Source organism: Homo sapiens, chromosome 10, assembly GCF_000001405.40.
Source record: "Homo sapiens chromosome 10, GRCh38.p14 Primary Assembly".
Classification (NCBI taxonomy): domain Eukaryota; kingdom Metazoa; phylum Chordata; class Mammalia; order Primates; family Hominidae; genus Homo; species Homo sapiens.
Window position 1 is genome coordinate 95853185 of NC_000010.11, and position 11449 is coordinate 95864633.

Below are 11449 nucleotides of genomic sequence, written 5' to 3' on the forward strand. Positions count from 1 at the left end.
TTGAAGCAATTGTGAATGGGAGTTCACTCATAATTTGGCTCTCTGTTTGTCTGTTATTGGTGTATAAGAACGCTTGTGGTTTTTGCACATTGATTTTGTATCCTGAGACTTTGCTGAAGTTGTTTATCAGCTTAAGGAGATTTTGGGCTGAGATGATGGGGTTTTCTAGACATACAATCATGTCATCTGCAAACAGGGACAATTTGACTTCCTCTTTTCCTAATTGAATGCCCTTTATTTCCTTCTCCTGCCTGATTGCCCTGGCCAGAACTTCCAACACTATGTTGAATAGGAGTGGTGAGAGAGGGTAGCCCTGTCTTGTGCCAGTTTTCAAAGGGAATGCTTCCAGTTTTTGCCCATTCAGTATGATATTGGCTGTGGGTTTGTCATAGATAGCTCTTATTATTTTGAGATATGTCCCATCATTACCTAATTTATTGAGAGTTTTTAGCATGAAGAGTTGTTGAATTTTGTCAAAGGCCTTTTCTGCATCTATTGAGATAATCATGTGGCTTTTGTCTTTGGTTCTGTTTATATGCTGGATTACGTTTATTGATTTTCGTATGTTGATCCAGCCTTCCATCCCAGGGATGAAGCCCACTTCATCATGGTGGATAAGCTTTTTGATGTGCTGCTGGATTCGGTTTGCCAGTATTTTATTGAGGATTTTTGCATCAATGTTCATCAAGGATATTGGTCTAAAATTCTCTTTTTTTGTTGTGTCTCTGCCAAGCTTTGGTATCAGGATGATGCTGGCCTCATAAAATGAGTTAGGGCAGATTCCCTCTTTTTCTATTGATTGGAATAGTTTCAGAAGGAATGGTACCAGCTTCTCCTTGTATCTCTGGTAGAATTCGGCTGTGAATCCATCTGGTCCTGGACTTTTTTTGGTTGGTAAGCTATTAATTATTGCCTCAATTTCAGAGCCTGTTATTGGTCTATTCAGAGATTCAACTTCTTCCTCGTTTAGTCTTGGGAGGGTGTGTGTGTCGAGGAATTTATCTATTTCTTCTAGATTTTCTAGTTTATTTGCATAGAGGTGTTTATAGTATTCTCTGATGGTAGTTTGTATTTCTGTGGGATCGGTGGTGATATCCCCTTTACCATTTTTTATTGCATCTGTTTGATTCTTCCCTGTTTTCTTCTTTATTAGTCTTGCTAGCAGTCTATCAATTTTGTTGATCTTTTCAAAAAACCAGCTCCTGGATTCACTGATTTGTTGAAGGGCTTTTTGTGTCTCTATTTCCTTCAGTTCTGCTGTGATCTTAGTTATTTCTTGCCTTCTGCTAGCTTTTGAATATGTTTGCTCTTGCTTCTCTAGTTCTTTTAATTGTGATGTTAGGTTGTCAATTTTAGATCTTTCCTGCTTTCTCTTGTGGGCATTTAGTGCCATAAATTTCCCTCTACATACTGCTTTGAATGTGTCCCAGAGATTCTGGTATGTTGTGTCTTTGTTCTCGTTGGTTTCAAAGAACATCTTTATTTCTGCCTTCATTTCGTTACGTACCCAGTAGTCATTCAGGAGCAGGTTGTTCAGTTTCCATGTAGTTGAGCAGTTTTGTGTGAGTTTCTTAATCCTGAGTTCTAGTTTGATTGCACTGTGGTCTGAGAGACAGTTTGTTATAATTTCTGTTCTTTTACATTTGCTGAGGAGTGCTTTACTTCCAACTATGTGGTCAATTTTGGAATAAGTGTGGTGTGGCGCTGAAAAGAATGTATATTCTGTTGATTAGGGGTGGAGAGTTCTGTAGATGTCTATCTATTAGGTCCACTTGGTGCAGAGCTGAGTTCAATTCCTGGATATCCTTGTTAACTTTCTGTCTCATTGATCTGTCTAATGTTGACAGTGGGGTGTTAAAGTCTCCCATTATTATTGTGTGGGAGTCTAAGTCTCTTTGTGGGTCACTAAGGACTTGCTTTATGAATTTGGGTGCTCCTGTATTGGGTGCATATATATTTAGGATAGTTAGCTCTTCTTGTTGAATTGATCCCTTTACCATTATGTAATGGCCTTCTTTGTCTCTTTTGATCTTTGTTGGTTTAAAGTCTGTTTTATCTGAGACTAGGATTGCAACCCCTGCCTTTTTTTGTTTTCTATTTGCTTGATAGATCTTCCTCCATCCCTTTATTTAAGCCTATGTGTGTCTCTGCACACGAGATGGGTTTCCTGAATACAGCACACTGATGGGTCTTGACTCTTTATCCAATTTGCCAGTCTGTGTCTTTTAATTGGAGCATTTAGCCCATTTACATTTAAGGTTAATATTGTTATGTGTGAATTTGATCCTGTCATTATGATGTTAGCTGGTTATTTTGCTCGTTAGTTGATGCAGTTTCTTCCTAGCCTTGATGGTCTTTACAATTTGGCATGTTTTTGCAGTGGCTGGTACCAGTTGTTCCTTTCCATGTTTAGTGCTTCCTTCAGGAGCTCTTTTAGGGCAGGCCTGGTGGTGACAGAATCTCTCAGTGTTTGCTTGTCTGTAAAGTATTTTATTTCTCCTTCACTTATGAAGCTTAGGTTGGCTGGACATGAAATTCTGGGTTGAAAATTCTTTTCTTTAAGAATGTTGAATATTGGCTACCACTCTCTTCTGGCTTATAGAGTTTCTGCCAAAAGGTCTGCTGTTAGTCTGATGGGCTTCCCTTTGTGGGTAACCCGACCTTTCTCTCTGGCTGCCCTTAACATTTTTTCCTTCATTTCAACTTTGGTGAATCTGATAATTATGTGTCTTGGAGTTGCTCTTCTCGAGGAGTATCTTTGTGGCGTTCTCTGTATTTCCTTAATTTGAATGTTGGCTTGCCTTGCTAGATTGGGGAAGTTCTCCTGGATAATATCCCGCAGAGTGTTTTCCAACTTGGTTCCATTCTCCCCGTCACTTTCAGGTACACCAATCAGACGTAGATTTGGTCTTTTCACATAATCCCATATTTCTGGGAGGCTTTGTCCGTTTCTCTTTATTCTTTTTTCTCTAAACTTCCCTTCTCACTTCAATTCATTCATTTCGCTAGACCATTCTTAAAAGAAGATATACAAATGGCCAACAAACATGAAAAAATGCTCAACATCACTAATTATCAGGGAAATGCAAATTAAAACCACAGTGAGACACTACCTTACTCTCCTGCAAGAATGGTCATAATTTAAAAATCAAAAAATAATAGATGTTGGCATGGATGTGGTGTAAAGGGAACACTTTTGCACTGCTGGTGGGAATGTAAACCAGTACAACCACTATGGAAAACAGTATAGAGACTCCTTAAGGAACTAAAAGTAGAACTACTGTTTGATCCAGCAATCCCACTACTGGATATCTACCCAGAGGAAAATAAGTCATTGTATGAAAAAGACACTTGCACACACATGTTCACAGCAACACAATTCGCAGTTGCAAAAATATGGAACCAGTCCAAATGCCCATCAATCAACAAGTGGACAAAGAAAATGTGGTAAATATATATATGTATGCATATATATATATATATATATACACACACATAAATGTATATACACACACTATGGAATACTACTCAGCCATAAAAAGGAATGAAATCATGGCATTTGCAGCAAGGACACATGATGTATTAAGTAAAACAAAGCAGTATTATAAAAAATTTGTCTAGTATCATCATATTTAGGTTATATATATACATATACACATATATAATTATATAAATATGTATTCACTATTTTCTATTACATATCTATTTGCTATAGATATTAAACAGTAAATTGTTAAAAAGTGTACATCTCTAGAGGATGGTTAGATTAAGGAGGGACTTCCATTTTTAACTTGTATTATTTAAATTCTATATAATAAACGTGTTTTTTTTTAATAAGCCAGCATTTTAAAGACATTTCTATTTTGAAGGAAAAGAAATGAATAGGGAAACTTCATGTTTTGAGAAATAAATAAGAGCAAGATTCTGAGATGCCAGAGGGAGGCTTCTGAAGGTCATGGGAAATTTTTCAAGAGCCGATGGCATGTAGTGTCTTGGGGGGTTGGAGGTGGCATGGACCAGGAGGCCCTGCTGACTTGATCGCTATGTATCCTACTGAAGGCTCAATATGTTGCTAAATCTACCTCATAGAAATTTGTTGTTTGTTGATCTGTTTTTTATAATTTGTACTTACTTTATAAAGCAAATGTCACTACTTAGCAAAAGCAAGAGAGTTTCTAGATGCTTACCTCATTGAGACTTTTGCTAATAGAATAAGCTCTAGGATTAATTTCAGAAAGTCTTTTGAAATGTAACAATTTAAGGAAATATTTATTAGTGCTTTATTACATGCTCATTATAAAAAAACTGTACAAAAAGCTTAAAGTAAAGACTAAAAGGTCTCTTCTCCCTCTCACCCCACCATCAGTTCACTAGAGGAAAAATGAGGAATAGTTGTAATAAACAGGAAGAACTTTTCCAGGCATTAGCTATGCGAATCCAAGCATATATAAATTTATCCAGATTTAACAGAGATTGTTGTGCCTTAGGAACTAGAGAGAGAGCAGTTTTCTGCCACTTATTTACGGAGCACTCACATATGCCAAGTGCCATGTTAGTGAGGGCAGATTCAACCAAGAACAAGGGAAATTCCGCGCCTGCCATCACAGAGTTGGCATTCTAGAAAGCAGGCAGACATGAGACCAGAAACACAAACAAAGGCAAATCCGACTGCTGCAAATCAAAAGGAACTGCTGGGGCAGGTCGCGGTGGCTTACGCCTGTAATCCCAGCACTTTGGGAGGCCGACGCGGGCGGATCACGAGGTTAGGAGATTGAGACCATCCTGGCTAATGCGGTGAAACCCCGTCTCTACTAAAAATACAAATTAGCCGGGCGTGGTGGCAGGCGCCTGTAATCCCAGCTACTCGGGAGGCTGAGGCAGGAGAATGGCGTGAACCCGGACGCAGAGCTTGCAGTGAGCCGAGATCGCGCCACTGCACTCCAGCCTGGGCGACAGAGCAAGACTCCATCTCAAAAAAAAAAAAAAAAGTAACTGCTGGGAGGAAAGAGACAGTCCTGTGAAAGCAGATAACAGAGGGTCCTAGAGACCCCTCTAAGGAGGGGAAGTGGAAGTCCAGGGAATTCCAGCAGAGGGAATAGCAAGTGTACAGGTTCTAGGGGAGGAAAGGCTTGGCGGGGATTGAAAGCCAGGGTGCTGGGTATGGTGGGCATGGGGGCAGGGCTAGAACATGCCTGGTTTTCAGCGACCTTGTAGGATTTGATTTTTATTCTAAGTATAATTAGGAGCCACCAAAGGTTTTAAGCAGGGGAGTGATATGATCAGATTTGTTTTTAAAAGATTCCTGTGACTGCTGTTTGTAGGATGGGTTGGACTAGAACCAGAAAGCTAATGTGGAGACTAATTAAGAGGCCATTGCAGTATCCACACGAGATGATAGTGGCTTGGGTTAAGAGGGCAGAAATAGGACCATACCACGATCTTTTTCTGCACCTGGGATACAATGATAATGGAAGTGCTGGAATTCCTGAGTTCAGGGCATATGGAGGCTCTCCAGTTTCTGCAGAGCTCGACTTCCTAGAGGAATGAGCATACCAGTTCAGAGGCTAAATGTATTTATACCATTGCTCATAGGGGAAATTGCTGGAAATCAGGAGAATATCTACCAGTAGAGAGTTGTTGAATAAATTAAGATACATCTACACCGTAGACTCTTATGTGGCCATTAGAGTGGCCCCAGCTGACTTGGAGGGATTTCTATAAAGGATTGTTAAGAAAAGCAAGATGAAGAATCTGTTTAAAATTTCATTTCTAAAACAAACCCTTTATATGTGTGTGTTTGTATATGATTATAGGAGCATGGGAAAAATGGAAGGCTTCATATTAAGTTGTTAGTATGAACTCCTGTTGGGACTGAAAGTGGAAGAAAAAAATCAAGCCAAAAAAAGGAAAATTTATTAAAAAGGACTAATATGCTCACACTTATGTTATTAGATATATATGTATAAGAATATTGAAAAATGCAACTTTTAAGAAGCTGGCACTGGGTTTATGTCAATTGGAACTGAGGCATACGGCCTGTTTGCAGCAGGAAATTGCCTGGTGGAGGATATTTTTCCTCATCTCTGAGTCACAGTGAGCCCCCAATGGGATCTCTGCTACCTCCTGTTTCTTTGCCTACCAAAACTCTGTTTCTTTGCCTATGCGAATTACACTTTGGGAATCACATTTGCTTTCTACATTCACTTCTAGTTAAGTAATTTTACAGAAGGCAAATTATAATCCCCAATCTAACCGTGTTTGCCACAGGGAAAACTTTATGCCCCCCTCAAATAATCTCAGTAAACTATGACTCAGCACAGTGTCTAGCAAACAGAGCTCAGTGTGTTTGCTGAATGAACAAATGATGTGCTCCTTTAATATCCAACATGATTTCCCCCTAAAAACTGGCACCTTTTTGGGTAGGAAAGAGGAAAAGCACTGGAGTTGGGGTTTGAATTGCCTCATCTAGCAAGCTCTGCTCAATTATTTTTTCCCCTTTAAATTATGCTCTATTAAAAGAGTAAAAAGGCAGTTATAGGGTGGTATGAAGTATAATAAACATTTTATATGTATCATAGAATGAGAAAGATGCTAGAAGCCTATATACTATATTGAATAGCAGTTGTCACTAAGTAGTAGAATTTAGAGGTCATTTTAATAGAATTTTTTTTTGTTTTACTGATTTGAACTTTTAACTTTTTTTATAGTTCTTATGTTTGATGATGATAATGATTTTTAAAAAATTTCAGTTGTGTCTAAAATAGTACCTAGCCCATAGTAGACCTGTAATAAATATTTGTTGAATAAAGATGGATTTTTTAAAGGAAAGCAGTACATATTCATTATAGAAAATAGGCAAAAAATAAGCACAAGGGGAAAAAACCAATTTCGCTACTCAGAGATAACTCAATAGTGTTGTATAGAATTTTCCAGTTGTTTATATTTATTAAACATTCATATGTAGTACATAGTATTTTTAAATGGGATTTTTGCAACCCCTTTCTCTCTCTTTTCTTATTCTCTTTCCCCATTTTTCTTTCTCCCTGACTCTTCTATTACAATTATGGAGAAAAGTAACTGCCAGGTGGCTTAGAAATGTGTGTCAGCAGCAAAGTGGCTCCTCTTCCAGGAAGGAAACAGCTCTTGGGCCTGCAATATCACTTTGTGTGTTAATTTACTCAGCAGAACTTTCCAGGCACCTGCACAAGGGATGCGGCCTTTAGGAGAGCAAGTTGGCATCCCTCTGTGTGGAACACAGCCTAAAACTGCGATTTTCTCTTGTAGGCATTTTCAGCTTTTTACTTTGTGATGAAGTTTTTAAACTTGACATCAGAGAAAGTCTCTCAGGAAAAGGTGACTGAGATGATGAAAAAGTTCTGTGCTCAGCCTTGGGAGGAGGTAAGTGACTAGGCACAGCAGCTCTAACAGCATGAGTGCCCTGTGTCGTTGCTGATGCAGAGGATGTGAGTCTGCTCTGAAACTCCTGCTGGTTTGACCAAGATCCAGCAAATGTGTTAGAGAAGACCAGATGGTGGACTCAGGAATGAATTTATCAGCATTCCTTGATAACTTGACATCCAGTGGCTTAAATAAGATCTTATTTTTTTCTCACCTAATACAAAGTCTGGCAGTAGGCAGCTGCTGGCATGGGGTCAGCAGCTCTGCTCTATCTCAGCCATTGCTTCTTCAGCTCTGCTGTTGTGCCTGTTTCTTCATGGACACAAGATGGTGGCTGTGGCTTCAGGCATCACAGCCATGTTCAGAAAGGTCAGAAAAGGGGTCGAACCAGATACATCTGTTCCTTTTTACAGGAAAGCAAAAGCTATCCCAGACTCAGCAGTCTTCCCCTTATATCTCAATGGCCAGGATTGACTGGGAAAACCAGGTGCAGAATTTTGTGACCAGCTTAGAGCTTAGACCTATAATGAGCCACTGCCTCGAGCTGGGCACATTGTGGCCCACTCTCCTCCTTCAGTCCCCAAATCAGAGTTCTGTTAGCAAGAAAGCAGGCAATTTGCAGAGTCTGACACAGACACAATTGTGGTAAAATCCTCTCCATTTCCCAGGTCCAAGATATCTCCTACTTATTCATAAACTTGAAGCACAATTTTTTTCTTATCAGAGGCACTGAGCCATTCAACATCCAGTGCCACAAGATGAAAATCCAGGGATGAGAGGTATGGAATCCACTCCGATTATAAAAGACATAGCTCAAAACAGCAGCTGTACTTAAGTTGACAGTTGCAAAAGTGAATGGTGTTTTCATTCTTAAGAAATACTATTAATTAAAAATAGATGCTTATCCCTGACTGCACTGACAAGGGGGAAGAAAGGCTGAGCAAGAGCCTGGAAGCTTGCCATTCTCTCCAGGTATTTTGTCTAGAACATGAAAGAAATGTGGTCAGGGCCTTCATCAAGAGTTGCTCAAATATGTCTCAGCATTTTACAAAATGCTTAGCGGTGGTTTTTTGCATCTGGCGGTGATCTGTGGAGGAAGATAAGCATGTTAGAGTGGAGGCAATTTGAGACCAGGCCTACATGTGGCTGCTGAGGAAGCAGATTTAGGCTGCTCTTTGAAAAAAAATTACTTCTGGTTTAGATTAAAAGTTCTCATCCTGGCTAACATGGTGAAACCCCGTCTCTACTAAAAATACAAAAAAAATTAGCCGGGCATGGTGGTGGGCACCTGTAGTCCCAGCTACTTGGGAGGCTGAAGCAGGAGAATGGCATGAACCCAGGAGGCGGAGCTTGCAGTGAGCTGAGATTGTGCCACTGCACTCCAGCCTGGGTGACAGAGCAGGACTCCATCTCAAAAATTAAAAAAAAAAAAAAAGTTCTGTCAGGTTTCCTCTCTTATCCACATCTCATGTTTTACTTCATAAGACTATGTTAGGCTGGGAATGCTTATATTTAGACCTGTAGTTCTGCTCAGGTAAGTCATGTGGGGAGTTGTTCAGAGGCCCTGGAAGTAAGCTAAGAAGGGCCTGCATTTGGGAGAATTCCTGAAGCATTTGGGGAAGGGGTTGCAGGGTTAGACCCCTGTCTTCACCCAGAGCCTACAGCATTGAGGTGGATGTTATGACCCAGGGTTCACTTTCCCAAGCTGCATCGTCCACCCAGGTAGAAAGCATAGTTTTGTCAAGTACATTGTTAGAAGGTGACTCTTTCTTCTTTCCCTCCTAACTTCATCATGGACTGCTACTCCAGTATGGCTTGTGTTTGGGAATGTTCCTCCTAAACACCTTTGGTAGAGAGATAATTAACAATGTTTAAGCATGTACTATGTGTTGACAGTGGTGGACATTTGCTTGCTGTGCTTTATGCATATCCTATCATGCTGCCTTCCCCTGCTTTGGCAAGGGAAATAAAATGCAAACCACACCTGCTGACACTCAGTCAGGTACCTGAAGCCATTGGGTCTCTGAAGTGGAGGGACCAGGAGAGTGAGTGGAAGGGAGACTCCATGGTTGTCTTCTGGCAGCTTCATTAGAGGGCTAGTAGAATCTTTCAGCAGCCAGAACACAGCCAATTTTCTACTCTGAAAATCTGGTCATCCAAGATCTGGTCAGCCCAAGTGAACAATGTGATCAGATTCTATGTGTACTGATGACCAGTTATATTTCAGTGTACTCTGGATCCTCACATTCAGCCTCATGAATATTTAGCCTTTCTAGGGAAAGGCATCCCATTCTTGAAGATCCATCAATGCCCCTTTATGTGGAGGGCAGAAAGAGGATATCCATGAAGAGAAAAGAACCTCATCATGTTCCACTGCCCTGGGAATAGAAAGGAGAGAAGAGAGAGGGGAAGGTGGGAGAGAGAGGAGAGAGGAGAGTAGACTTCCCCTCCCAATTTGGAGAGCACATAGTGATCCACCCACAGGCATGAGCATGATCAATTCTGGATTGATGAAGAAGGTGGATGCCTTTTTGGCTTCTATATTTTTGGCTACTATCATAACCTTCAGGAGGCCAGACTGCATAGCCAATGTACAGATTTCCAGAAGGAGGAGGGGAATAGGAGTATTAAAGAATTCAGGGAAATTAGGCCAAAATGGCATCTCCCAGCCCCCCACAAGGGATAGGCCAGCCTTCAAGGACCTACAGGGGCTCAGCACTTTCAAGTTGGACCTAAGTAGATTCTTGGGATTTTGTGTCCCATAGGCATCCTTCAATTGACAGGCCCAAGACTACTTCAATAGGGGAGGAGGTCTTTTCACAAAGGGAAAGCAGAATGCAGTGACTGAAAGGAAGGGGTAGGAACCTGGACAGGCAATGCCAACTGATGTCCACACCAAGGTCTCAAGAGGATGTCACATGCAGAGGAATCAATCAAAGGATAATTTCCAGAACTGTGCTGAAAAGACAAGCTCCAAGCTGGGTCATTCTGAGAATTTCATCAGAGCAAGACAAGGCAGTCTAGTTATGGACTTATCCTTCCAGAAACTGGGGACAGGCAAGAACCAAGTGAGAAACAGACCCCAGCCAGCGGTTAGGATTTGCATATGGGTTAGGACCCACGGAAGGGAGAGAAATCTGGGAAAAGAGGGGTGTGGTTTAGGCATCAAGGAGATACTACATATAAAACATCTGGCATAGTTCCAGATGGTACATGATGCATGCATAACAAATGTTCTCTCTCTGCCGAGGGTATCCAGGAGGGAATGCCTATCTGAAGGGCTGAGGAATGGGGCAGCAGACAGAAGTCCAGGCTGAACTAGAGAGGTCCTGGCCTGTTGTCCTCAAATTGAGGGCAGGAGAGTTGCAGAGCAGGCTGTGGGTATCTGGGTGTATATTCACAACAGCTAGGCTAGGTAAGGGCAAGGGATGGCAAGCAGCTCTTAATATTTTTAGTAGGGAGTAGGATGAGTAAACATAGGAAGGACTCAAGGAAACAACCACTTTGCATGACTCAGATGCAAAAAAAGACATTAAGACAGAAGATAGAAGGTGAGATGTTGGCAGTGCTAGCAGTCCTCAGCAAAATGCTGCCTAAACTGTGTCCACAGCTGTGTTTCTCAAACTTTACTGTGCACGTGAATCACCTGGGAATCATATTGGGATGCAGATTCTGAATTGGTAGTTTTAAGGTGAGGACTAACCAGCTCCCAAGTGATGCTGATGCTGCCAGTCCAGGGACTAAAGTGAGTGGTAAGGCTTTTTATGGCTGTGGGCCAAAGGCTCTGGTCAAGAGCATATAGAAAACTCAGATTAAACAAAGTCTAGGGCATGAACAGAGGTACTGAAATTTAGTGTTTCAGAACCTACTAGACCACAGGAACTACTTTTTTCCTGGAGGACCTGTTATTATCTCATAGAAGCCTGTGCAGGAAAAGCTTCCTTAAGAGACCCTAAACTATAAAACCCTGCTCCCACTGAAGGAGTGCAGCACCACCCCCAAAACCCTCTGGAAGAGGCCAACCTTCAGGTGCACTGGAGCTGGGGCTTTC

The 11449-nt window shown here is 41.1% G+C and overlaps 1 protein-coding gene and 1 long non-coding RNA gene across 30 annotated transcripts in view; one reads left to right on the forward strand and one right to left on the reverse strand.

The window, feature by feature from the left end:
* The window catches only part of ENTPD1 (ectonucleoside triphosphate diphosphohydrolase 1), a 183082-nt gene that overhangs the window by 159000 nt on the left and 12633 nt on the right, over positions 1-11449 (forward strand). For all 29 annotated transcript variants that reach the window (NR_199793.1, NM_001440933.1, XM_047426024.1 and 26 more), the window contains one exon: positions 7285-7398. Coding sequence is in view for 28 of the 29 variants with exons in the window: in NM_001440933.1 (NP_001427862.1) it covers positions 7285-7398 (114 nt within the window). In the remaining variant the exon portion in view is untranslated. The remainder of the gene's footprint in view (positions 1-7284; positions 7399-11449) is intronic.
* The window catches only part of ENTPD1-AS1 (ENTPD1 antisense RNA 1), a 337030-nt gene that overhangs the window by 99979 nt on the left and 225602 nt on the right, over positions 1-11449 (reverse strand). The gene's annotated exons all lie outside the window — the stretch shown is intronic.